Raw genomic sequence first — 26849 nt, 5'->3', positions numbered from 1 at the left:
GACCCCTGCACGGTGCCCTGTATGCAGTGGAGCCAAATAAATGTAAACCTTCAAGGCACTAGGCGCATGGGTGAATGTAGGATGCAGGGGCTCAGGAGGCTGTGAGATGTTCCCCAAACACTCCAGATCATTCTTGCTCCGCAAACCAAGCGCTGTTGTGCCAGTGTAAGACTTGAGGGCTGTAGGCTGCCTGAGCCCTCCCCATGCCTTCCCCCGAGAGCACGCCACCCAGCGCCGGGGGTGTGCCTGCTCCTCTGGGCTTCAGCTGGGAACCCCGAGGCCTTCGCCTCAGGGCATAGCTGCCAGGAGGCAATGGAACGAGGCTGAGGGTGCTGGTGGGGACCATGCTATCATTCAGTTGAGGTCAAGGCACTGCTCAGAGTGGATGCCCAGTTCCATGGAGGGACCTGCCCAGGCCTGGAGCTCTGGAAACCAGGGGGGCCGATGGCACAGCCAGGAGCACGTGAGGAGCCACTGTATGGGAGATGCTGCCCTCTCCTAGGGGCTGAACCATGTCCCTCCCACAAAATTCATCTGCTGAAGTCCTAGCCCCAGGTCCTCAGTGTGATCTTATTTGGAGGTAGCATCTTTGTAAAGGTAACTAAATTAAAATGAGGGTCGCTAGGGTCTTATATTAGGCCCTAGCCCAATACAAGAAGAGGAAATGTGGACAGAGACACATAGAGGGATGATGATGGGAAGAGTGGGGGAAAGATGACCGCCAAAGAGCCAGGGAGCGTGGTGCCAGAAGGAGCCCGCCCTGGGGACATGGCTCTGACGTCAGCCCCCAGGACTGTGGGAGGACACACTTCTGCTGTTGAAGCGCCAGGTCTCTGCTGCTTTTTGACACAGCCCTGGCCGGCTCAGGTGCCTTCTCTGCTGCATTCTCTGCTCAGGCTACGGGACCCCTTCCTGGAAGATCCCGGGGCTGACAGACTTTCTCGATGGTGAGAGAGGGGACAGGAGAGGGTCCCTGGACCCAAGTAGCATGATCAGGATGAGGGAGGTCTGATTCTGAAGATGGTACCCAGCATGGGACCATCTGGGATCCTGCTTTTATTAAGTTCTTATATTTCTAAATAACTTGGCTTTTATAGAGTTACCTGCTGAATTGATTCATGTATAATACAGATTTATTTTTTATCTTACTACTTGTTCACAATGTCTTTCCCACTTCACGCTTTGCTCTTCACCTCGCCGCCTCTGTACTAAAGCGTGCCTTGCTGTCCGACCTGCGGCTGCTTGGCACCATCATTTTTTTTTTTTTTTTAGACAGAATCTGGCTCTGTCTGCCAGGCTGGAGTGCAGTGGCGTGATCTCGGCTCGCTGCAACCTCTGCCTCCCGGGTTCAAGCGATTCTCCTGCCTCAGCCTCCCGAGTAGCTGGGATTACAGGTGCCCGCCACCACGCCTAGCTAATTTTTGTATTTTTAATAGAGACGTGGTTTCACCATGTTGGCCAGGCTGGTCTCAATCTCCTGACCTCGTGATCCGCCCGCCTTGGCCTCCCAGAGCGCTGGGATTACAGGTGTGAGCCACTGAGCCCAGCCGGCATCACTTTATTCGAAGCCTTATCACCGGCCCGTAATCACGCTTCTTTAAATCGCATGCAACGTGTTTTCAGACCAGTCGGGTGGTCTTTTAACGAGGAGTGCAGCCCGCATCCGATTCCCGCTCTGCGGGTTCCTGGTCCTCCCCATTCTTCCTCCTGTGGCTCTTTTGCAGTTGCCTGGGTTTGCAGCTGGCTCAGGCTTCTCTCCCGGTTTCCACCGAGGGCTCGCTCCTGCTCAGGGTCCCCGCGTGGTCCCGGTGTTCCGATGCCACCAGGCGGCGCTGTTCCCTTGCATCCTCAACATCAGATTCCCAGTCCTGCAGGACAGGAACCGGAACGCCACCCTCCACCAGGGACTGGGTGCACCTTCTCCCCACCGCGCCTGAGCCCCCGGGGGCTTCTGGCCACTTACACCCCCAGGCCTAGGAGGTCAGCCGTGGGATGCCTCTCTATCGCATGCTCCTGATTCCACACTCAAACCTCACTTTCCGGTGGCTCTCACGTCGCCTTGAATGTCTCACGGAGGTGAGTAGCCCTCCTTCCTCTTCCTCCTGCCGGCTCTGTGCTAAGTCCATGCTCGTCTGCTCAGAGGAGGGTCCGGAGGTCATCTTCCCTTCATCCTTGCCAACCTGGACATGTCTTTCTTTCTCTGTGACCCATGCATTCTATCTGCAGAGGCAGTGAGAGAGTGGCTGAGAACACAGACCCATCCCAAAGCCAGGTTTTCTGGTTTCCTTTTTTTTTTTTTTTTTTTTCTTGAGACGGAGTCTCGCTCTGTCGCCCAGGCTGGAGGGCAGTGGCGCCATCTCGCCTCACTGCAAGCTCTGCCTCCTGGGTTCACACTGTTCTCCTGCCTCAGCCTCCCAAGTAGCTGGGACTACAGGCGCCCGCCACCACGCCCGGCTAATTTTTTGTATTTTTTTTTAGTAGAGACGGGGTTTCACTGTGTTAGCCAGGATGGTCTTGATCTCCTGACCTCGTGATCAGCCCGCCTTGGCCTCCCAACGTGCTGGGATTACAGGCGTGAGCCACCGCACCTGGCCCGGTTTTCTGGTTTCTAACCCTGGTTGTGTGATGGTGCATAAGTCACTTGACCTGTCTGTGCTTGTGAGATGGAGATAATTCTAATATGTTTCTCCTTAAGGAGAGGAAACAAATTAAACAAGCTCAGACAACACTGAAGCTGTGCCTGGATAGGGAAAACTGTCCATGGGCATCGGCTATTATTATATCACTGATTATTATTATTATCCATGCTGGGGTATAGAGTGTCAGGGCAGAGCCCTTTCCTCTGAATGCTTTGTAAACATCAGTCCGTCTTCTTTTATTTATTTATTTATTTATTTTGGAGACAGGGTCTCACTATGTTGCCCAGGCTGGAGTGCAGTGGCACAATCTCGGCTCACTGCAACCTCTGCCTCATGGTTTCAAGTGATTCTCCTGCCTCAGCCTCCCGAGTGTAGGTGGGATTACAGGTGCCTGCCACCATGCCCGGCTAATTTTTTGTATTTTATATTTTTTAGTAGAGATGGGGTTTCTCCATGTTAGCCAGGCTGGTCTCGAACTCCTGACCTCAAGTGATCTGCCCACCTCAGCCTCCCAAAATGTAGGGATTACAGGCGTGAGCCATCGCGCCCGGCCTTTCTTCTATTATATTTTATTTCCCTATTATTTGCATATGGGGCTACTGGATCTGTTCTCAAAATCTCTTTTCCCTCATAACTTCCTCGAGGCAGTATTTTTGCTTTACGTTTCAGGTAATTCCTCTATTTGTTCCTCCCCACATGAATTCAGAACTCAGAGACACGAGCCTCTCCTCTGATTCAACTCGTAAATGGGTTTTTCCTTTACAAATAATGATTTCTAGTTGTAGAACTTGTTCATGCTGCTGTTGAACGTATCCATCTGTCTGTCCATCGTCGTGTTTTAAGAGGCAGCCCCTCTCCCCGAGACCAGTCCCCTGGGGACCCACTCCTCAGGGTCTCAGCTGTGGCCACACGGCCCGCTGCCCAGGTGCAGTTTCTGGAGGGGCTGTGGCTCTTCACGGCACCTTGTTCTTCTCAGCTGCCAGGAATATTAAAAGCCAATCCTCGGAGCTTACATATAGCCCTAGTGGGTTATATCCCAGAACCAAAGGAACTTGAGGAAACAACTGGAGCTGTTTGCAGTGATTGCACTGTGGGTAGCGGACTAGCACTGGGCTGTGAGACTGTCGTGTGTGCTTTGGATCAAGCAGGCACAGTTGTGTGACTTTCTACTTTGTCCTTCCCCTCCTTTGCCCTGAAATCTGGGATTCTCTGCACAGGAGAAGGTCATTCTGGTTTGGAATTGGAAGTAGCAACAGGAACCCTCTGTGTTTTTTATTTTTGTTTTTGTTTTTGAGATAGAGTCTTGGTCTGTCACCCAGGCTGTAGTCCAATGGTGTGATCTCAGCTCACTGCAACCTCCACCTTCTGGGTTCAAGCCATTCTCCTGCCTCAGCCACCAGAGTAGCCTGCCACCTTGCCCAGCTATTTTTTTTTTTTTTTTTTTTTTTTTGCATTTTTAGTAGAGACAGGGTTTCACCATATTGGCCAGGCTGGTCTTGAACTCCTGACCTCAGGTGATCCACCGGCCTCGGCCTCCCAAAATGCTGGGATTACAGGTGTGAGCCACCACGCCTGGCCTTGTGTTTTCCCTTTAAAAACAATTGGATATCTAGCTCTGTCCACGGACGGGCCTGGAAGCAGTGAGCACCCCTGGAGCAACAGGCAGCCCTGGTGCACAGGCAGCGTTTTCCCAATGCCATGTCCACACTAGCGTCCACCCGAACCACCGCCAGAGAGGCTCTCCAAATGAAAACGAGGTTCGTTCAGGAGTCGGGCATTGCGTGCAAATACGTATGCTGGAGTCCGCTGTGCGTTTTCAGGGAGGTAAAAGCACAGAGGCTTTAATGGCAAAGTGAAGAGAATCACAGAATTGTTTTGGGATATTTATCCTTGCCACAGGAATCGAGAACACGGGTGGTAACAGTCTGAGGTTGGGCAGGTGTCCTCACAGAAGTGTTTTTTGTGTGAGGTTGTGATGGACTTTGCTCACGATTGTGGTGTTTGCTGTCTTCTGTGATGGTTTTATGGGGAATACCGTCAGGGCTGTTCCCAGCTCTATTGGTTGGGGTTTTGTTTTGTTTTGTTTAAGACAAGTGTCTCCATTTTGATTCTGACAGCTTTCACACTGGAAAGCAGGGACTGAGGAAAGTGAGGGGGGCAGCAGGGCCCAGCCAGGGGATCCTGCCAGAGGCAAGGACGTCACTAAGGACTGTGCAGGTTCTAGCAAAATGACAAGGGGCCGGGCGTGGTGGCTCACTCCTGTAATCCCAGCATTTTGGGAGGCCAAGGCGGGTGGGTCACCTGAGGTCAGGAGTTTGAGACCAGCCTAGCCAATATGTTGAAATTCCATCTCTACTAAAAAAAAAAAAAAAAAAAAAATACAAAAAGTAGCCGGGTGTGGTGGCAGGTACCTGTAATCCCAGCTACTTGGGAGGCTGAGGCAGGAGAATCACTTGAACTCAGGAGGTGGAGGTTGCAGTGAGCCGAGATCGCGCCACTGCACTCCAGCCTGGGCGAGAGAGTGAGACTCGGTCTCAAAACAAACCAACAAAAAAGGACATGGAAGTGCAGAAGGGCCCCCCGCTGGCTGGATCCGGGGTGGTGTGTGAAGAGAATGCTATCTCCTCGTCTCCACCTCCCCGGCCCCCACTCTTGCCACGGCCCCCCTGCACAGCCTTCCCCAAGGCTCCCTGACCCACTCCTCGGCCCAGTTTCTATGCCGGGGGCCTGGCCCTTGGCCCCTGACACGAACTGGGCTCTGGAATGAGTCCTTCCACCCCACACACCCACTGCAGCAGGCTCTTCCCTAGACAACGTGAACGGGTGGGGACAGAATGAAGTGCAGGGAAGGCCTCGTGCAGGTGCCCCACGGGGGGACTGAGACTGAGCGGCCACCTGCACACCCCGAGTCCTGGGCACCTTGCGCCTGCTGTTTCCACACCCACTTCAGCAAAGCACGAAGCAGAGGTCTGCTCCACGGGCCTCCCGGGGTTTCAGAGGACCCCTGCACGGTGCCCTGTATGCAGTGGAGCCAAATAAATGTAAACCTTCAAGGCACTAGGCGCATGGGTGAATGTAGGATGCAGGGGCTCAGGAGGCTGTGAGATGTTCCCCAAACACTCCAGATCATTCTTGCTCCGCAAACCAAGCGCTGTTGTGCCAGTGTAAGACTTGAGGGCTGTAGGCTGCCTGAGCCCTCCCCATGCCTTCCCCCGAGAGCACGCCACCCAGCGCCGGGGGTGTGCCTGCTCCTCTGGGCTTCAGCTGGGAACCCCGAGGCCTTCGCCTCAGGGCATAGCTGCCAGGAGGCAATGGAACGAGGCTGAGGGTGCTGGTGGGGACCATGCTGTCATTCAGTTGAGGTCAAGGCACTGCTCAGAGTGGATGCCCAGTTCCATGGAGGGACCTGCCCAGGCCTGGAGCTCTGGAAACCAGGGGGGCCGATGCACAGCCAGGAGCACGTGAGGAGCCACTGTATGGGAGATGCTGCCCTCTCCTAGGGGCTGAACCATGTCCCTCCCACAAAATTCATCTGCTGAAGTCCTAGCCCCAGGTCCTCAGTGTGATCTTATTTGGAGGTAGCATCTTTGTAAAGGTAACTAAATTAAAATGAGGGTCGCTAGGGTCTTATATTAGGCCCTAGCCCAATACAAGAAGAGGAAATGTGGACAGAGACACATAGAGGGATGATGATGGGAAGAGTGGGGGAAAGATGACCGCCAAAGAGCCAGGGAGCGTGGTGCCAGAAGGAGCCCGCCCTGGGGACATGGCTCTGACGTCAGCCCCCAGGACTGTGGGAGGACACACTTCTGCTGTTGAAGCGCCAGGTCTCTGCTGCTTTTTGACACAGCCCTGGCCGGCTCAGGTGCCTTCTCTGCTGCATTCTCTGCTCAGGCTACGGGACCCCTTCCTGGAAGATCCCGGGGCTGACAGACTTTCTCGATGGTGAGAGAGGGGACAGGAGAGGGTCCCTGGACCCAAGTAGCATGATCAGGATGAGGGAGGTCTGATTCTGAAGATGGTACCCAGCATGGGACCATCTGGGATCCTGCTTTTATTAAGTTCTTATATTTCTAAATAACTTGGCTTTTATAGAGTTACCTGCTGAATTGATTCATGTATAATACAGATTTATTTTTTATCTTACTACTTGTTCACAATGTCTTTCCCACTTCACGCTTTGCTCTTCACCTCGCCGCCTCTGTACTAAAGCGTGCCTTGCTGTCCGACCTGCGGCTGCTTGGCACCATCATTTTTTTTTTTTTTTAGACAGAATCTGGCTCTGTCTGCCAGGCTGGAGTGCAGTGGCGTGATCTCGGCTCGCTGCAACCTCTGCCTCCCGGGTTCAAGCGATTCTCCTGCCTCAGCCTCCCGAGTAGCTGGGATTACAGGTGCCCGCCACCACGCCTAGCTAATTTTTGTATTTTTAATAGAGACGTGGTTTCACCATGTTGGCCAGGCTGGTCTCAATCTCCTGACCTCGTGATCCGCCCACCTTGGCCTCCCAGAGCGCTGGGATTACAGGTGTGAGCCACTGAGCCCAGCCGGCATCACTTTATTCGAAGCCTTATCACCGGCCCGTAATCACGCTTCTTTAAATCGCATGCAACGTGTTTTCAGACCAGTCGGGTGGTCTTTTAACGAGGAGTGCAGCCCGCATCCGATTCCCGCTCTGCGGGTTCCTGGTCCTCCCCATTCTTCCTCCTGTGGCTCTTTTGCAGTTGCCTGGGTTTGCAGCTGGCTCAGGCTTCTCTCCCGGTTTCCACCGAGGGCTCGCTCCTGCTCAGGGTCCCCGCGTGGTCCCGGTGTTCCGATGCCACCAGGCGGCGCTGTTCCCTTGCATCCTCAACATCAGATTCCCAGTCCTGCAGGACAGGAACCGGAACGCCACCCTCCACCAGGGACTGGGTGCACCTTCTCCCCACCGCGCCTGAGCCCCCGGGGGCTTCTGGCCACTTACACCCCCAGGCCTAGGAGGTCAGCCGTGGGATGCCTCTCTATCGCATGCTCCTGATTCCACACTCAAACCTCACTTTCCGGTGGCTCTCACGTCGCCTTGAATGTCTCACGGAGGTGAGTAGCCCTCCTTCCTCTTCCTCCTGCCGGCTCTGTGCTAAGTCCATGCTCGTCTGCTCAGAGGAGGGTCCGGAGGTCATCTTCCCTTCATCCTTGCCAACCTGGACATGTCTTTCTTTCTCTGTGACCCATGCATTCTATCTGCAGAGGCAGTGAGAGAGTGGCTGAGAACACAGACCCATCCCAAAGCCAGGTTTTCTGGTTTCCTTTTTTTTTTTTTTTTTTTTTTTTTCTTGAGACGGAGTCTCGCTCTGTCGCCCAGGCTGGAGGGCAGTGGCGCCATCTCGCCTCACTGCAAGCTCTGCCTCCTGGGTTCACACTGTTCTCCTGCCTCAGCCTCCCAAGTAGCTGGGACTACAGGCGCCCGCCACCACGCCCGGCTAATTTTTTGTATTTTTTTTTAGTAGAGACGGGGTTTCACTGTGTTAGCCAGGATGGTCTTGATCTCCTGACCTCGTGATCAGCCCGCCTTGGCCTCCCAACGTGCTGGGATTACAGGCGTGAGCCACCGCACCTGGCCCGGTTTTCTGGTTTCTAACCCTGGTTGTGTGATGGTGCATAAGTCACTTGACCTGTCTGTGCTTGTGAGATGGAGATAATTCTAATATGTTTCTCCTTAAGGAGAGGAAACAAATTAAACAAGCTCAGACAACACTGAAGCTGTGCCTGGATAGGGAAAACTGTCCATGGGCATCGGCTATTATTATATCACTGATTATTATTATTATCCATGCTGGGGTATAGAGTGTCAGGGCAGAGCCCTTTCCTCTGAATGCTTTGTAAACATCAGTCCGTCTTCTTTTATTTATTTATTTATTTATTTTGGAGACAGGGTCTCACTATGTTGCCCAGGCTGGAGTGCAGTGGCACAATCTCGGCTCACTGCAACCTCTGCCTCATGGTTTCAAGTGATTCTCCTGCCTCAGCCTCCCGAGTGTAGGTGGGATTACAGGTGCCTGCCACCATGCCCGGCTAATTTTTTGTATTTTATATTTTTTAGTAGAGATGGGGTTTCTCCATGTTAGCCAGGCTGGTCTCGAACTCCTGACCTCAAGTGATCTGCCCACCTCAGCCTCCCAAAATGTAGGGATTACAGGCGTGAGCCATCGCGCCCGGCCTTTCTTCTATTATATTTTATTTCCCTATTATTTGCATATGGGGCTACTGGATCTGTTCTCAAAATCTCTTTTCCCTCATAACTTCCTCGAGGCAGTATTTTTGCTTTACGTTTCAGGTAATTCCTCTATTTGTTCCTCCCCACATGAATTCAGAACTCAGAGACACGAGCCTCTCCTCTGATTCAACTCGTAAATGGGTTTTTCCTTTACAAATAATGATTTCTAGTTGTAGAACTTGTTCATGCTGCTGTTGAACGTATCCATCTGTCTGTCCATCGTCGTGTTTTAAGAGGCAGCCCCTCTCCCCGAGACCAGTCCCCTGGGGACCCACTCCTCAGGGTCTCAGCTGTGGCCACACGGCCCGCTGCCCAGGTGCAGTTTCTGGAGGGGCTGTGGCTCTTCACGGCACCTTGTTCTTCTCAGCTGCCAGGAATATTAAAAGCCAATCCTCGGAGCTTACATATAGCCCTAGTGGGTTATATCCCAGAACCAAAGGAACTTGAGGAAACAACTGGAGCTGTTTGCAGTGATTGCACTGTGGGTAGCGGACTAGCACTGGGCTGTGAGACTGTCGTGTGTGCTTTGGATCAAGCAGGCACAGTTGTGTGACTTTCTACTTTGTCCTTCCCCTCCTTTGCCCTGAAATCTGGGATTCTCTGCACAGGAGAAGGTCATTCTGGTTTGGAATTGGAAGTAGCAACAGGAACCCTCTGTGTTTTTTATTTTTGTTTTTGTTTTTGAGATAGAGTCTTGGTCTGTCACCCAGGCTGTAGTCCAATGGTGTGATCTCAGCTCACTGCAACCTCCACCTTCTGGGTTCAAGCCATTCTCCTGCCTCAGCCACCAGAGTAGCCTGCCACCTTGCCCAGCTATTTTTTTTTTTTTTTTTTTTTTTTTGCATTTTTAGTAGAGACAGGGTTTCACCATATTGGCCAGGCTGGTCTTGAACTCCTGACCTCAGGTGATCCACCGGCCTCGGCCTCCCAAAATGCTGGGATTACAGGTGTGAGCCACCACGCCTGGCCTTGTGTTTTCCCTTTAAAAACAATTGGATATCTAGCTCTGTCCACGGACGGGCCTGGAAGCAGTGAGCACCCCTGGAGCAACAGGCAGCCCTGGTGCACAGGCAGCGTTTTCCCAATGCCATGTCCACACTAGCGTCCACCCGAACCACCGCCAGAGAGGCTCTCCAAATGAAAACGAGGTTCGTTCAGGAGTCGGGCATTGCGTGCAAATACGTATGCTGGAGTCCGCTGTGCGTTTTCAGGGAGGTAAAAGCACAGAGGCTTTAATGGCAAAGTGAAGAGAATCACAGAATTGTTTTGGGATATTTATCCTTGCCACAGGAATCGAGAACACGGGTGGTAACAGTCTGAGGTTGGGCAGGTGTCCTCACAGAAGTGTTTTTTGTGTGAGGTTGTGATGGACTTTGCTCACGATTGTGGTGTTTGCTGTCTTCTGTGATGGTTTTATGGGGAATACCGTCAGGGCTGTTCCCAGCTCTATTGGTTGGGGTTTTGTTTTGTTTTGTTTAAGACAAGTGTCTCCATTTTGATTCTGACAGCTTTCACACTGGAAAGCAGGGACTGAGGAAAGTGAGGGGGGCAGCAGGGCCCAGCCAGGGGATCCTGCCAGAGGCAAGGACGTCACTAAGGACTGTGCAGGTTCTAGCAAAATGACAAGGGGCCGGGCGTGGTGGCTCACTCCTGTAATCCCAGCATTTTGGGAGGCCAAGGCGGGTGGGTCACCTGAGGTCAGGAGTTTGAGACCAGCCTAGCCAATATGTTGAAATTCCATCTCTACTAAAAAAAAAAAAAAAAAAATACAAAAAGTAGCCGGGTGTGGTGGCAGGTACCTGTAATCCCAGCTACTTGGGAGGCTGAGGCAGGAGAATCACTTGAACTCAGGAGGTGGAGGTTGCAGTGAGCCGAGATCGCGCCACTGCACTCCAGCCTGGGCGAGAGAGTGAGACTCGGTCTCAAAACAAACCAACAAAAAAGGACATGGAAGTGCAGAAGGGCCCCCCGCTGGCTGGATCCGGGGTGGTGTGTGAAGAGAATGCTATCTCCTCGTCTCCACCTCCCCGGCCCCCACTCTTGCCACGGCCCCCCTGCACAGCCTTCCCCAAGGCTCCCTGACCCACTCCTCGGCCCAGTTTCTATGCCGGGGGCCTGGCCCTTGGCCCCTGACACGAACTGGGCTCTGGAATGAGTCCTTCCACCCCACACACCCACTGCAGCAGGCTCTTCCCTAGACAGCGTGAACGGGTGGGGACAGAATGAAGTGCAGGGAAGGCCTCGTGCAGGTGCCCCACGGGGGGACTGAGACTGAGCGGCCACCTGCACACCCCGAGTCCTGGGCACCTTGCGCCTGCTGTTTCCACACCCACTTCAGCAAAGCACGAAGCAGAGGTCTGCTCCACGGGCCTCCCGGGATTTCAGAGGACCCCTGCACGGTGCCCTGTATGCAGTGGAGCCAAATAAATGTAAACTTACAAGTCACTAGGCGCATGGGTGAATGTAGGATGCAGGGGCTCAGGAGGCTGTGAGATGTTCCCCAAACACTCCAGATCATTCTTGCTCCGCAAACCAAGCGCTGTTGTGCCAGTGTAAGACTTGAGGGCTGTAGGCTGCCTGAGCCCTCCCCATGCCTTCCCCCGAGAGCACGCCACCCAGCGCCGGGGGTGTGCCTGCTCCTCTGGGCTTCAGCTGGGAACCCCGAGGCCTTCGCCTCAGGGCATAGCTGCCAGGAGGCAATGGAACGAGGCTGAGGGTGCTGGTGGGGACCATGCTGTCATTCAGTTGAGGTCAAGGCACTGCTCAGAGTGGATGCCCAGTTCCATGGAGGGACCTGCCCAGGCCTGGAGCTCTGGAAACCAGGGGGGCCGATGGCACAGCCAGGAGCATGTGAGGAGCCACTGTATGGGAGATGCTGCCCTCTCCTAGGGGCTGAACCATGTCCCTCCCACAAAATTCATCTGCTGAAGTCCTAGCCCCAGGTCCTCAGTGTGATCTTATTTGGAGGTAGCATCTTTGTAAAGGTAACTAAATTAAAATGAGGGTCGCTAGGGTCTTATATTAGGCCCTAGCCCAATACAAGAAGAGGAAATGTGGACAGAGACACATAGAGGGATGATGATGGGAAGAGTGGGGGAAAGATGACCGCCAAAGAGCCAGGGAGCGTGGTGCCAGAAGGAGCCCGCCCTGGGGACATGGCTCTGACGTCAGCCCCCAGGACTGTGGGAGGACACACTTCTGCTGTTGAAGCGCCAGGTCTCTGCTGCTTTTTGACACAGCCCTGGCCGGCTCAGGTGCCTTCTCTGCTGCATTCTCTGCTCAGGCTACGGGACCCCTTCCTGGAAGATCCCGGGGCTGACAGACTTTCTCGATGGTGAGAGAGGGGACAGGAGAGGGTCCCTGGACCCAAGTAGCATGATCAGGATGAGGGAGGTCCCAGGAATATCCACGCCCATGGAGCCAGGCCCCCCTGGAAGCCTGTGAGCCTGAGTGTGGTCCCCCCGATCATGCCATGAGGCCCCAGGCTCTGGCCAGCTCTCCCGCCCTTGAGCTCTTGACCCTACCTTGGGGTCACCTCCTGCCCACCCCCATCCTCCCATTCAGTGCCCCTCCTTCTCTACACTCCAGGACACATGAGCTTCAGCTGCAGGATCCGGAGCTCAGCTCCTACAGATGCTCACACCCTTGGCCCACCTCAGTTTCCCATCTGAAGTCAGTTCAAGGCCTGGTGGTCTGGGAAAAGCCAGCTAGTCCACCTGGCCCAGTACAGATAGGCTGGAGTCTCGGGCCTGCAATCCGGACCTGTGGGCAGCAGGATAGCTGCCCGGGATTGCCCTGTGGGGCCCAGGCCACAGCTGCCCTCAGGCAACAAGGGTCAGTCCCCAGCCTTCCCTGGAAAGTGCCTTACACAGATCCTCTCATTCCAGTGCAAAGTGGATCAAAACACTTTAATAAAATGGCAGCGGCTTTGTGGGATGTCTGTGGCAGACAAAATCAAGAGCCAGGAGCCCGGGATGCGGAGATGGGCCTCGGTCTCCACATCCTGGCGGGTGCTGGGGCCGGGGCTAGTACTTGAGCAGCCAGCGTGGCCTGTGGGTGCTCAGCGATGTGAAGTAGGACCACCACCAGGGCTTACTCCCGTCGGCCGAGGGCTGCCTGCGCGCCCGGAGCGGGTCGGGCTCCGTGGCCTCCCCCAAAGAGCTGGCACCTCCCAGTGGGTCGTGGGGCCCAGTCCTCCGCAGCCCATGAATAAAGTTCTTGGGTCCCATCCCCAGAGGTTGCAGAATGAAGTCCACACGGCCAGCCCTCTTCATCCGGGCGGGGATGATGACTTTCTTGATGACTTTGGCGTAGCCAGGGGCTTGGGCAATGACAATGTGGATACCTGGGGGCAGCAGTCTCCAGTAGTCACCATCTGGGGCTGTGGACAAATAGATTAAAAATGATTCTCACGAGGACTGCAGACCCAGCCACGGGGTGATGGGTGATGGATATGAGTGGGGAGAGGTTAGCATGGGAGGCAGGCGCCAAATGTGCACTTGCCTCTGTGTGGGCCTGGAACGTCCTTCCCACCCCTTTTCTCTGTCAAACTCTTATTTATACCTCAAAACCCTGCTTAGGCACCCCTCTTCTCTGAAACCTTCGATGACCACTCCCACCCCCCATACCCACCCCACAGTTAGCAAAAGTCCCCCTCTTCTCTGGACCACATCTCTGCCAGGTAACACATATCACAGCATACCGTCATTTTTCATCGGCTGTGAAATTCCTGTAAGGACAGCCAGAGCCCGCACAGGGCTGGACACCCCAGCTATCAACAGGGTATGAACTTTGGGATAGAAACAAACAGGCTTAGGGGTGGAGGTGGCTCTCCCCGGCAATGTTGGAGGAGGCGGCATTTTCCTAGGAATACAGAGCATGCATCCACCATCATTCAGTAGCTACGGCTGGGCAAGCTCTTCCCTCACCAAATGCTGTAAGGAGACGCAGACCCTGGTTCCTGCCCACCCTCCCCGACCCAGCCAGCCTGGGGAGGAATGGAGCCATCCTGCTGAGGGCTGGGCACACTGTGAGTGCCTGAGGGTGCCGGCTGCCACGGTGTGGCATTTCCTTGGCAGACGTGGTCCCCAGGGGACAGCCAGGGACGTGCTCACCTGTGGTGATGTCGTGGCGAATGCCTTTGACTGAGATCCGGGCGTTTTTGACTGGCTTGCCGAATTTATCTGTCACCACACCTTTGATGCCCCGGTGCACCTGAAGAGACCAAGGGGAGGCCAGGGAGATGGCGTGAGCTCTCCTGCTGAGCGTGGAGGCCGTCAGCTCGTTCCCCACATGCTCCTCAGAGCTTGGTATCTAGGGGGAACTACCCCACAGAGCCCCACTCTGCCAGCCCTCGCTCTGCCATCTTTAACGAGTCAGTCACTCCCCTCTCTGGGCCTCAGTTTCCTCCCTGGCAATTGACCCGAGCACGTTCTGGGCTTTTGAATGACCCTGCATCTCACCCGAGGCCTGGCTGACTCCATCTCTATGGGCATTGAGCAGAGAACCCTTTCCTGCCACTCTTCTGCCTGATCGGCATTCCTTCCCTGCCTTCCCAGCCCCAGCGGGACTCCCTGGGTCCCTCTGAGCTGAGGCTCCTGAAGGTGGCGTGGGCATGGGAGAGGACGAGGACAGTGCTCGGACCCTCGCTCGAGCAGCGCGGTTTCTTCATCGTACACGTGTATAACACGCCCTGCCTTCTTACTGCTTGCCTGGCCTTGGCACGAACTGGTCCTGAACACACAAGCTCCCTGCACGCCCACAGCTCCAACGTTTTCACCCTGGAAAGCCCTCCCAAAGCTGCCTGATCCTGTCCACATTTCTTGTAAAACAGTTGATGACAAACCACCCACACGGCCCCTGCTCTAGTCAGCAGAAAACAACGTGGGGTCCAAGGATGCTGAAGGTCACGCTGAGCAGGACCAGGATGCCTGTGGGGAGAGGAGTCCGTCCAGCGAGGCTGCCCCCTGCCCGGGCCCTGCACGGGGCTCAGCAGCAACAGATTCTCAAGGGAAAGGGCTCCCAGCCAGGCCCTGCTGTGCTTCCAGAAACTATGAAAATGATCTTGCTCCTCTTAAAATCAGGATAAAAGCAAAACATTTTAGGTTGGAGAGACTGTTTTCCTATATATTCATCTTTATGTCGACTGTTGTATAATTTTAAATACTTTATATGGAGGGAGGAGTCCACAGAAGCAAAGAGCCTGGGCCCACAGGGTCAGGAAGCAGCCCTGGCAACAGGAGCATCCTCCTTCCCTGGCCCCGGGACATTAGCCCGAGAGGGGCTGGTTTTTCTCTGGGCCAGAAAATCAGCTCTGCCGTAGTGACTGTTCACTTCAGACAAACCTTTGCTTCTGGGTGCCTCAGTTTCCTCAGCTGTAAAATGTTCATGAGGCCAAAGCAGCTCTGGCTTCTGCAGGACCGATGATTTCAGCAAGCATGTGAACTCTAATCCCACCGCGGCTGACCCCCGCCGTGACCGATGCAGAAACCGACTGGCCTGACACACGCGGCCCGTGAGCTCAGACCCTGTGGCACCTAACTGCTGTTCCAGGCTCACGCCCAGCTGTCAGTGGTGCAGGTGGCTGAAAGAGGGGAGTGGGCACCCAGTCTAGCTCCACAAAGCACATGCTAGCACTTATCTCTGTGCCACAGGGATCTCGGGAACCCAGAGCACATGGAATCCATGATGAGCACATCAAGGGGTCCCAGCCCTCCTGACGCGATGGAGAGGGACTGACAGCCACTGCCCCCTGCCCTCTGGGGCTCGTGACCCCCACCCTGGATGCTCTTGTCCACACTTCGCTGCTTAATGGAACCGCACTCCTGAAACAATGTCTCATGGACTCGCATTTAGCGGGAGGGAGAGCATAAAAAGTAAGGTTTTCCTGCATGAGAGGTGATGAAGAGAAACTGGACAGCTCGAGAAGCCACCATGCCCCTCAGCCACCCCACCCTGTGGCTCCTCCTCACCCCCAGACAGCATCTGAGCCTTCTCTGCTAAGAATACCCTCACCAGCCCCTCACCGGGCCGATTCCTTCCCTCCCTTCAAAACACAGCTCACACTCCTCCTCCTCCAGGAAGCCCTCCCTGATGACCAGCCACACTGGGGGCCTACCCCAGGGCCCCACGGCCCCAGTCTTCCTCTCTGCCAGCCCTGGTCTCACTTCTGCCTCCCCTAGCCCCACCCGAGAGCAGGGGCTCTCCCAGGAGGGTCTCTTACAGGAGGCCCTCAGCATCAGCCTGCAGTGGACGGATTTTTTTTCTGTCCCTGCTCTTGGGCCCACGGGTCACCTTCATGAAACACAGGGCACATGCGGTTCTCTGGTGGGGAAAGAGAGCTGCCACGCCGCCCCTCCCCTCGCCCCAGGTGATGTAGACTCCCACCCGAGGCCTGGCCAGGATCACTTTGAAAAAAGCCTCAATTGGCCACGACAGGCTTGATCCTTATCAGGAGCCCGCGCCCAGGTCTCCTGTAAGACGTCCGTCTCAAGAGCCAGCCAGCGAGCTGCCCAGCCTTCCAAGGTCCACGCTTGCTGTAAATCTTCATATCCCAAGACTTCATGTGTAATATCCAGGAGCAATGCCAGCCACATCCGAGGCTCCTTCAACCTCATGTTCATCAGACAGCCGCAAAATGCAATGTGCACAGGCCTGGCGCGAGAGCTCATAGAAGAATGGGACTCGCCACAGGTGGTGCAGGGCTGCGGCACAGCCATCAGAAAGAAACTCAAATGGCAGAATGTTCCATTTTACTTTGTGTGGGGCTTTGTTTCTTTCCTATCTCAGCGGCTGCTGCCCCAGGGAGTTCGCTCGATTCTTACTTGGAGGAAGGTTCCTGATTTTTCTAGAAAGGAGGGGGCTCATGGACAGAGGGCTTGGGAAGAAGCAGATCTGGGCGACACCAGACAGGCCATGTCACTCTCTGACCCTCTGTCTCCTCCTCTGGCTGGCTCGCAGACATTGGGAGCCTGGAGCACAAGCCTGTGTGTGGCCCAGAGACCCCAGGCCAGAACCTCAACTCCATCTATAAAATGGGACGGCCCCGTCTGCCGCCCGGCCTGGTGTCAGAACCGGCTGCCCTGTGTGGGTGGGCGCCAACTGTACGGTGCTGCGCCCTCACCTCTCCTTGCTGCTGCAGCTCAACCCTCTTTCTGAGGCCTGCTTCTCACTGGGCATCTGTGCTCATATGCAATTTATGTGATTCTTGAAAACGCTTGGGAAAAAAATAGCAGAAGCTTCTTCGAACGCAGGCTGCCTTCCCTGTGACATCCTGGACCCTTCTTGGGGTCCCCAGCACCCTCGGTGTGAGCTGTGCTGGAAGGGGAGCAGACATGGGCACAGAGTCCCCACTCTCACACTGAGTGCTAGGGAGACCTTGGCTCTCTGGGGCAGCGAGGGGGTCATTTTAGACACATTCTCAGCCATCCCCACTCACCTCCCACCTGCCTGCTTCTGGGTGACCTCAGCCTCACGATAGTAGTCACCCCTCAGTCAGGACGCCCTGCCCCGCCCCCAGCCTCTGCCAGCCACTTCCTGCCTATACCCTTCACTCTGAGGCCCCAAAACCCTGCCTGAACCACACAGCTACCCCACTGCCCAGAGCCCTCACTTCTGCGCCTCCTGGAGCACAGTGCCCGCCCCATCCCACGGCTCGAGTCCTCACCACAGCCCCAGCGGCTCTCGAGGGTTTTGATGTCCCCTTGGGGTTCTAGCATGCTCCCCTCTGCTGGGAGCTCTCCCTGTCCTGTGGTTTGATTTCTCCTACCCTTCTTCAAGATGAAGCCCTGCGGCTGCCTCCTCCAGGAAGCCCCCCCAGCCTCTGAGGCTGGGTCAGACACCTCGCCGGGCTGCCCAGGCCCATGCTCCCTTGTTTAATTGTGCTGCTTTAGGCTGTAACATCCTTGCTCACAGGGACTCCAACACATGGCACCGCCACCCCAGCACCCACAGAGCACGCAAAGGAGAGCCGGCTACTGTATCTCAAGTTGTGCATGGTGGACAGTTAACCCCAAAACAAGTGGTGGCAAAAGGAGCATGTGTGTATGGGGCAGTGAGGCTACGGGGGCTGCCCTGGGGGCCTGAATGTGACCCACCCCACCCAGGCCACAGCTGGACCAGAGCCCTGAGACCGTCAGAACTCACCGTCTCCACGAAATTCAGGAGTGACTCCTTGTTGTGCTGCCAGAGTATGTACAGGGCCTCCTCGGGGGGGAACTTCACACAGCCCAGCTCTACCGTGATCTCAAAGCAGTTGGTGTGCAGGTAGTTGAAATCGGACATGCCTGTGGCACAGAGACAGCGGGGACGTCAGGGGTGTCAGCCGCACAGAGACAGCCGGGACGTCAGGGGTGTCAGCCGCACAGAGACAGCCGGGACGCCGGGGTGTCAGCCGCGCAGAGACAGCCGGGACGTCGGGGTGTCAGCCAAGTGCCCAGCAGGCAGGTGAGTGCAGCAGGTACTCGCCACAGACGCCCCTCCTGCAGCTGAGGGGCTGAACAACTGCAAGGTGGACCATATGATCCCCACTTTGCAGATCCGCAGATGGCGGCATGAGGCATTTAAGGGTCCCGCAATGGGAAGAGGCAGAGCTGCATCTTGAGCTCAGGCCGCTTGGCGGCAAAGTCCACAGGCTTCCCCACCCCCATGCTGTCTCTGGTGAGGTCAGGGATGAATCGGTTTCTAACAGAAAAGCCCACAGCACGGGGCAGCCGCACAGGCCCCTGGCATCCCAGCTGCTGGCCTGGAGACCCCATGGTGACAATGTCCATTTACCCAGACGCTGTCCTGACCAGAGTCTAGGAGGGTGGTCCTATTAGCTCCATCTCCCAGGGAGACCACGGGCCCAGGCTAGGGTGGACAACCAGCCACCTGGCCAGCCGAGAAGGCCTCAGAGCAAGCTGGGTCGACCCCAGCCATACCCGCTTCTGCCCTCTGTGCCATCTGCTCTTGGAGCTTCTTGTTCAGCAGAAGCCATGACCATCTCCAAGGCAGGCCTAGGATGATAGCACCCACAGGGCTGGCTGTGTCGGGGGCCACAGGGAGCCCACGCCCTTCTGAAGTTCAAGGCTCCTGAGCCGCAGAGCCTGCAGCTGCTGTTGACAGTCCCTGCCCAGACCCCAGTGTAGCCACAGTCACCGTCTCTCTGGTCCAGCTAGCTCTGGTCCCCGGCTTCATGCTTTCCCAGGGCCGTATCAGGGGCAAGAGGGACAGAGGCCAGGTGCAGTGGCTCACGCCTATAATCCCAGCACTCTGGGAGTCCGAGGCAGGCGGATCACGAGGTCAGGAGATCAAGACCATCCTGGCCAACATGGTGAAACCCCATCTCTACTAAAAATACAAAAATTAGCTGGGTGTGGTGGTGGGCGCCTGTAATCCCAGCTACTCGGGAGGCTGAGGCAGGAGAATCGCTTGAACCCGGGAGGCAGAGATTGCAGTGAGCTGCGATCGCACCACTGTGCTCCAGCCTGGTGACAGAGCGAGACTCCGTCTCAAAAAAAAAAAAAAAAAGGAACAGAGAGGGGCCTCTCCCAGCTCTGCTCGTGGGTGTCTGTTGCAGACCCCAGTCACAGGGCTATGACGGGGGCTGAGGGCCCTCTGCCTGGGTTCTGGAAGGGAGAGAGGCTGCGCCGCACCAGGGAAAGATCACAGGTGCCAACCATTGAGCAGGAGAGAAAAGTTTTCAGAGCAGGCTGCGAAGATGGCTTCAGAGTGTGCAAGAAGTGCCACCTTCTCTGCCCGCCTGCATGGGAAGAGGGGGCAGAAGGGGATGCCACGTGGGTCCTGGCTCTGCCACCTGTGGCCCTGGGCCTCCAGCAAGTCCTTCTCTCAGCTGAGCCCAGCGCTCTCATCTGTGATGTGCCGGCATGGAGAGGTGCAGGCAGGGCCCAGAGCATGTGTGCCTGGTCTGGCGGGTACCCCTCAGGACACACAGTGGCATATGCCCATTATATTGCTCCTGTGCAGCCTCCCCAAGGGCAAATTTAGCAGATAAAGATGTACACGCTTCAAGTCGGGCTCCAGAGAAACCACAGATACAATTGTAGTATCAGTCCACCCCATGCGGGTTCTTGTAAGCATATCCCACGCATTGGAACATCCTTACATTGTCCTAAAAACAATTCCTCACGGTCTCTCTGGAATTCCAATTTAACTGGAAGTCCAGCATTTCATCTGGCAACTCCACTTCCCTAATGTCACAAAGGTATTGGTCATGGGTGAAACCGTGACATTTGAGTGTTCATGAAATAAACTACAGGAGCCACGGGCCTGGGTCCTCCACAACAGTCACACGACAGCTTTTCATCAAGACAGAAACAAAACTCACGCCAGCCTCCTCTCCACCAGGTGAGGCATCGCCCTGTCTTCCGGGCTCTCCAGCTGGATCCCAGCAGCAGACCGTGGAGTTACGCCTTGCCCCTGCCCCACCCAGCCCCTGCACCCCCCACCCCCCGCCCAGTCCCGCCCTGCGGAAGCCGCACCTCCCGTGAAGCTGTACCAGTCCGCCCCGTTGATGATGCTCCCCCTCTTCAGGAAATTGCCTCCACACCTATTCTCCGACCTGTCCATCATCATGGGGTGGACGTCAGCGTAGGCTCTGGACAGCAGCTTGAACATCTGGAAAAGAAACCTGGCTCAGATAAGGAAAGGGTCCCCTGCAGGACGTCCTGTGAGCTGGGGTCAATGAGGGGAGGAGCTGCGCGTGCAAACACCTGCATTGCAGATAGGAGAGGGGAATGGTGTCTGCAGGTAGGAGAGGGGAACGGTGTCCTGCAGAGGACACAGTGTATGTGAAGGCCCAGAGGTGGGTCACAGGCGGTCTGGCACTGCTGGAGTTCGGGGCCAGGTCCCATGGGTAACTGGGGTAATCACCGAGACTCTGCACACCTGGCCGGGTAGTGTGGGCTTTCTCTCCTGAGGTTACACACAGACATGGTGTCCACAGGGTGTGTGCAGGTTGGCTTGACAGTTTATAAAGCCCAGGCTGTTGGAGCAGTGAAGGCAAGGGTGGGCTGCATTTTCCCCGACTTCATCTCCAAAGCCAACTACTTCTATGAATAATCACTGCTTCATTCCCCACCCCACTCCACCTCCAGGCTGACCAGCACCATCAGAGGCTGGGACTCAGCCTGCAGGAAGCCCCTCCCTGACTACCCCACCCTCCAGCTTCCACTGCAGTTGGCAGAGGGACAGAACACAGCTCACAGGATCTGCCACCCTTGACATGTTTGGATGTGTGGCTGGGATCCTGGGTCCCTCCCCACAGGCTTCCCTTCCCAGCCCAGAGCTTCCCCGCATTGTGCCCATCCCCCAGGCAGAGTCCACAGATCCTCCTTTGTGGGGGCTCTGGGCCGTCTGTAAGTCCCAGACTGACCTTGGGCAGAGGCTCCTGGTGGGTCAGGCAGGCGAAGGGCTCACCCTGCATGAGCTCATCAGGGCCCCACCAAGCAGGACAGGTCTGTGCTGAGGAGGGGGCTCCCTCTGTCAGAAAGGAGGAGTGGAGGACACTAGAGGGTGGACAGGCAGGGCCCAGTGAGTGAGTGAGTGAGTGAGTGAATGAGCGAATGAATGAGTGAATGAGTGAGTGAGCGAATGCGTGAGCAAGTGAAAGAGTGAGGGAATGAGTGAATGAGTGAGTGAATGAGTGAAAGAGTGAGTGACTGAGTGAATGAGTGATTGCTCCAGGCCAGAGTGAAGATCTCTCCCTGGTGGGGGTCATGAGACTCGGACTCCCAGACGTGAGGTTTGGGGTTGGTGAGGAATGGGTCCAGCTTCTCAGAAGTGAGGCTGTGCCATCTGGACTCAGTCCCACAGACACAAACCAAGGGCACAAACACAACCCCACTCAGGCCCTGTGGTTCCAGGGTGGCAGACCATGGACCACTATCCTGCCAGCAGCCCCTGCACCTGTGGGTGGGGCAGCATCAGCTCAGGAGTGGCCTGCCCTGCCTCATAGCAGGAAGCCTCAGCGGACTTTCCCATCAAGAATGAATCACATCCAACAAACGGTCCATCTGCCCAGGCCACATCTGCTACATTCTACCTGTGTCCCACCTCTGACCTGCCTTTATCCGTCAGCTTGACAGGGTGTAGCCTCGGGGGGTAGGAGGGTGGGACAAGACTCTCTCCAAAGTCTGCTCCTGACCCAACCCACCGTGTCACCCTTTCTACCCACAAGGCCTCCCTGCCCTACAGTCCCTCCTCCCTGCCCTTGCCCTGGGGCCTCCCTCCCATCACTGGTCAGTCTCTAGGGCTAAGGCATGGAAGGTGGCTGCCGACCACCAGTCCCCAAAACCCTGGGGTGCAGGGGCCCAGATCTGGCTAACACAGGCCTGACCTGGGAGGGCAGGTGCAGGACAAGGACATCAGAGGAGCTGTCGGTCCAGAGGCTGGGCGCACATGGGCAAGGAAGAGACACAGATAAATGAAACCAGGCGGGAGCAGGGAAGCTGGGACTGAATGGGGACCCAGAAACACAGGCTGAGGACCGTGGGAAACCCAGCCCACCCAGCTCCTGCCCCAGGAAGCCCTTGGGAAACTGGCTATGCTCATTCCCACAGCAAGCGTTGGCAAAGCCAGAAAGGGGTTGGCAGGCAGGACACAGCATGAGCAGGATTCGGGCAAAGGGGCACGTGTGGAGCAGCAAAAGGCAGCCATGGCCAGCCTGCAGGGCCTTGAACACTGTCCCCAGGCACTGGCTCTCGTCCGTAGGGCACCATGGAAGTTTGGTGAAAGGGTACCTTGGCACACCCCAGCCAGCCCCTCTCATGCTCCCCTGCCAAACCCAGGCCTCTCCTGGGACCCTGGTTTCCAGAGATCACTGCCGGCCACAGGGCTGCATGATCACTGCCCGATGATTGATGGCTTGGAAACAGTGTTATTTTCTCTGGCTCTGATGGGACTCACTGGGGTGAACATCCCCCCTGGGGACGTCTTCTCACATCTGGTTCTGAGGCTGAGACACACTGGGCCAGTGCAGAGGGGATGCCTGCCCTGCCCTGCCAGCTCTGAGGCTGAGACACACTGGGCCTGTGCAGAGGGGGACACCTGCCCTGCCCAGCCATGGCCCCCAAGAGCACAGGGGTGCAAGGCCAGGCCAGAAGTGGAGGCCGCCCAGTCACCTCTGCGGGCACTTGCAGAGGTCTGAGCAGAGAACCAGACACCTCACCCCTCGCACCCTTGGTGTGCACTACCTGCAAGAGTCAATGAATGAATGAGTGAGGGAAGGAGTGCGGGAATAAACCAATGAGTGAAAGAATAAGAGTGAGTGAATGAGTTTGTGAGTGAATGAATGAGAGAATGAGTGAGTGAAAAAGTGAGTGAATAAGTGCATGAGTGAATGGATGAATGACTGAGAAAATTAGTGTGTGAATGAATAAGAGAATGAGTGAGTGATGAGTGAATGAGTGACAATGAGTGAGTAAGTGAATGAGTAAGTGAGTGAGGGAGTGAGTGAATGCCTGAGTGAATGGGTGAGTGAATGAGTGAGGGAGTGGGTGAATGAGTAAATGAGTGAATGAGTGAGGGAGTGAGGAAGGGAGTGAGTGAGTGAATGGGTGAATGTATGAGTGGTGAGTGAGGGAGTGAGGGAGGGAGGGAGTGAATGGGTGAGTGAAGGAGTGAGTTAATGAATGATGAACAAGTGAAAGAGTGAATGGGTGGAAGAATGAACAAATGCAGGACAAATGCGCCGGTGGCCCAGGTGTTGCTGTCACTGCCCCTGGTCTGCAGAGTGCTCAGCTTGCTCTCCCCATTCCTGCTGGGCCACAGCACTCGGCATGGGCCCCTGCACCCGGCTCCCTGGGGCTCCCCTTGGTCTCTGCACCAGGTGGCCTGTGCCTCCAGTGCCCCTCCCTGCCCTGCAGCTGGAAATCTCTACCTCACCTGTGGAGACCTTTTGGGAAACCGCCACCTCAGGGAAGCCCTCCTGAAGTCCCAGACCAGGCTGGGGGTTCCCCACCCCAACATATGCACGTGTGCACATGCATGCACACGCACACACGTGCACTCACAGCCCTCCTGCAGCCCTGGCAGTCTTCTCCTTGCCAGTTTCTGGCTCCATTTCCCACCCTAGACTGAGGACCCCCAGCGCAGGGACCAGTCCCGTTTGCATTCCCAATGATGGCCCCAGGACAGGGAGGGGCCCAGGTGAGGCAGGGCTGATACCTGAGTGCCAACCAGGGGCCCAGCTATGTGCTCGGCCGGGTGGCCTCAGAAAGGAGAACAAACGATGTGTGACTGCTGTTATGAGGGGCCCGGCACCTGGCACTTGCCCACCCAGGGCCAGTCCCTCTCTCCCTGCTCCTTCCCCCAAACACCAAGGGAAAGTGCAGGGAGGGAGGTGGAGGGCAGGCCTGGCTCTCCACGCGAAGCCTGGGGAGCGACTCTGGGCCATCAAGGGGCCAGGTGGAGGGCAGGCCCAGCCTCCGGTGGAGTGGGGACCACTAGGGGCAGTTCAGGCAGCTAAGCTCCAGGATCCGCAGCTGGGGGCTGGGGGCTGGGGGCTGGAGGCTGGGGCCCACCTCAGATCACAACCCCTCCCTCAGCCTCCGCTTTCTTATCCACAGTGTGGGAACGGACCAACTCCGCGCCCTCCCCCAGCAGGTCGTCCTAAGGTTAGGGTGGGTTGGGAGGGTCCCAGCATCATCACGGGTCTCATCGCCCGCTGCTCTACGAACAGTAGGAGAAACTGAGGCCCGGAAAAGGGAGGGCCTCACCTAATGGCCCAGTGGACGGTGGGACCAGAACTCCTTCCCCATCCGGAGGAGCCCAGCACGTGAGAAGCAAGCACGACCCCCGGGAAGCAGGACGGGCGGGCAGCATGCGCGCTGCAGCACTGCCCTCTGCCGGCGCCTCCCGGAAACGCACCCCTCTGCGGTGGGAAGCACTGGGGACCCCGCCAGGCGCGGGGCGGAGCTCAAAGGAACAGCAGCGCTGAGGCAGGGTCCCCACCCCAGGAGCTCCCAGACGGGGACATGTGAAAGACAGTGCAGCCAGCCTCGGGGAGATCAGGGGAGCGACGGCCCCTGAGGCCACAGACTTCCAGGAGGAAGGGGCTTCCCTGCAGAGCTGGGCCTGGAGCAGGTGGTGCTGACCCGCTCTGAGTAGAGGTTCCTAGGAGCTTTGCCTTCACTGAGCTCAGGACTGGAGGGGCACCAGCTCCAAGGGGACCGCGCACACTGTCTCCCTCCCCTGCACACACCCGACAGCCCTCTCACCTTCTCGTCGGGCGTGGGAGAAAACATCTTCTCCTCCTGGGGGTGCTTGGAGAAGTCGAAGGGGTAGGACACCACCAGGTCGCCCCCATGAAGGCTGGCTGAGAGCACAAAGGGTATGGTCTGCATCCACTTCATGATTGCCTTTGTCTCCGGGGCCACCTGCCCAGGACAGACGAGGCCGCCCTCAGGGCTGGGCTTTCCCACTGGCCCGCAGCCATGCCCTGGGCTTCAGCAGCCCTCTGGGCTCCAATGGTGCAGACTATTAACGGTCTCTACATCAACGCACCAGCTGGACTCGGCCCCCATCACTGGGCCCCTGCGGGGATCTAGGCGTTTCCAACATGAATCTCTGAATCTCACCAACACCCCAGCAAGGAGGTGTTCCCATTTCACAGACAGGTAACTGAGGCAGGGAGGGAGCACCAGGCTCTCCTGTCCCCAGGGAAGGACAACTCCAGAGAGCCTGGAATAACTAGGGACCCCTGGATGCCTTGGTGGAGACCAGCATGGGCAGCGGCGGCTCCTACCTTACCCCACCAGTAGTGCTGGGGGATGGGGATGTGGTCGCTGCGTGCGCCGCGGGTCTCCGCCAGCCGGTAGTACTCGGACGTCAGGTCCGGGAAATTTCGGTTCAGATCCAGGTTCTGCGCGTTCTGCCTCCCGCTCGTCCACCCGTTGTAGCCGGCACCCTGAAAACATGGCCAACCCCCGACTGGGTGGGGTCAGCACACCCCACCCTCCTCCTTCCAGATGGGTCTCACGCTGGGCTGAGGGTCAAGGCCAGGGGCTGCGGTTTCCCCCGGCTTTATGTGATGAGCTCGGGGGCATGCCTGACCCTTGGCCTCCTCTCCACCCCGGGGCTCCTTGCTGATGTCACAGCCTTGGGGCCTTCCCTGGCTGCTCCCCCTGAGTGGGGCGCCCTCGACAGTCACCTGCTCTGCTCGTTGCCCACCTCCCCGAGAGCTACCCTGACCCCCCGCTGACACACACGGGCACCATCGACTCCCTTTCCATCATTTTCCTCTATCACACGCATCACCTTTTTAATTCACCTAGAATTCTCAGTGCCTTCCTTCTCCCCAGCCCCTGAAGCAGGGGTTTGCCAGTATCGACACCTGCTGAATGCTCCTCTCCTAGAGAGGCAGGAACGAAGCACTGCTGGGATAAACTACTCATAAATGGATGAATGAGGGGGTGGTTCGGGCGGTGGCCCACAGGATCCAGGCATCTGGGCGCTCACCTCGGCAGCTGCCACCTCATAGCCGTCAGGGTTCATGGAGGGCAGCAGGTGGATGCGGGTGGTGTTGAGCAGGCGCTGGATGCGGGGGTTACCAAGCAGGTACTCAGAGCACAGGTACTGGGCTAGGTAGATGAGCATCTCCCGGCCCGCCACCTCGTTGCCATGAATGTTGCCGATGAGCTTCACCTCGGGCTCCACTGGGGGCAAATACAGAGACTTGGGGCATCATCTCAAAGCCGGGGGTCCCCAAAGGCATGAGGCCCCCCCACTCAGCAAGAATGACCAGATGGGCTGGGACCAATTCATACTTGTTTTGACTCAAGAACCTCTGTATATAATGAGGTCTCATCAAGGTCATCACTTTTGTTAAGCTCGTTTTTTATGCCTAGCCAGAATTCTTAGTTAGCATAACTCAAGAATATGAATAATATATGTTATCATTGATTCATGCAAATTTAACTGATGGTCTCTCTTCATGTTTGTGTAATAAGTCAAAGTGCACA

General features: G+C 56.4%; 1 protein-coding gene and 1 long non-coding RNA gene across 4 annotated transcripts in view, besides 5 other annotated features; one reads left to right on the top strand and one right to left on the bottom strand.

Moving 5' to 3' along the window:
• Positions 1724–2224: an enhancer, noted in NCBI's record as "H3K4me1 hESC enhancer chr4:8632034-8632534 (GRCh37/hg19 assembly coordinates)". NCBI's record gives its function as "activates a minimal SCP1, AML or CMV promoter by ChIP-STARR-seq in naive H9 embryonic stem cells {active_cell/tissue: H9 hESC(naive)}" and the evidence as "EXISTENCE:reporter gene assay evidence [ECO:0000049][PMID:30033119]".
• Positions 7363–26805, top strand: LOC124900659 (uncharacterized). Its single transcript, XR_007058014.1, has 3 exons — positions 7363–7712; positions 17803–18333; positions 20236–26805. It is a non-coding gene; the product is annotated as an uncharacterized LOC124900659 (long non-coding RNA).
• The window catches only part of CPZ (carboxypeptidase Z), a 26988-nt gene continuing 12918 nt past the window's right edge, over positions 12780–26849 (bottom strand). For all 3 annotated transcript variants that reach the window (NM_001014448.3, NM_001014447.3, NM_003652.4), the window contains 7 exons: positions 26347–26543; positions 25634–25795; positions 25107–25265; positions 20370–20505; positions 18034–18173; positions 14004–14103; positions 12780–13270 (listed from right to left, as the gene is read on the bottom strand). In NM_001014448.3, coding sequence (NP_001014448.2) covers positions 12915–13270; positions 14004–14103; positions 18034–18173; positions 20370–20505; positions 25107–25265; positions 25634–25795; positions 26347–26543 — 1250 coding nt within the window. In that variant the 3' untranslated portion in view covers positions 12780–12914. The remainder of the gene's footprint in view (positions 13271–14003; positions 14104–18033; positions 18174–20369; positions 20506–25106; positions 25266–25633; positions 25796–26346; positions 26544–26849) is intronic.
• Positions 15561–15754: a silencer, noted in NCBI's record as "fragment chr4:8618505-8618698 (GRCh37/hg19 assembly coordinates)". NCBI's record gives its function as "represses an EF-1alpha promoter that drives an FKBP-Casp9 reporter gene in an ReSE screen in K562 erythroleukemia cells {active_cell/tissue: K562}" and the evidence as "EXISTENCE:reporter gene assay evidence [ECO:0000049][PMID:32094911]".
• Positions 24523–25090: an enhancer, noted in NCBI's record as "H3K4me1 hESC enhancer chr4:8609169-8609736 (GRCh37/hg19 assembly coordinates)". NCBI's record gives its function as "activates a minimal SCP1, AML or CMV promoter by ChIP-STARR-seq in naive H9 embryonic stem cells {active_cell/tissue: H9 hESC(naive)}" and the evidence as "EXISTENCE:reporter gene assay evidence [ECO:0000049][PMID:30033119]".
• Positions 24643–24702: an enhancer, noted in NCBI's record as "active region_21301". NCBI's record gives its function as "activates an Ori minimal core promoter by ATAC-STARR-seq in GM12878 lymphoblastoid cells {active_cell/tissue: GM12878}" and the evidence as "EXISTENCE:reporter gene assay evidence [ECO:0000049][PMID:35858748]".
• Positions 25091–25658: an enhancer, noted in NCBI's record as "H3K4me1 hESC enhancer chr4:8608601-8609168 (GRCh37/hg19 assembly coordinates)". NCBI's record gives its function as "activates a minimal SCP1, AML or CMV promoter by ChIP-STARR-seq in naive H9 embryonic stem cells {active_cell/tissue: H9 hESC(naive)}" and the evidence as "EXISTENCE:reporter gene assay evidence [ECO:0000049][PMID:30033119]".

Source organism: Homo sapiens, chromosome 4 (genome assembly GCF_000001405.40).
Source record: "Homo sapiens chromosome 4, GRCh38.p14 Primary Assembly".
Taxonomy (NCBI): domain Eukaryota; kingdom Metazoa; phylum Chordata; class Mammalia; order Primates; family Hominidae; genus Homo; species Homo sapiens.
Note: the sequence above shows the minus strand (reverse complement) of the source record. Positions and strands in the feature narration are given on the sequence as shown.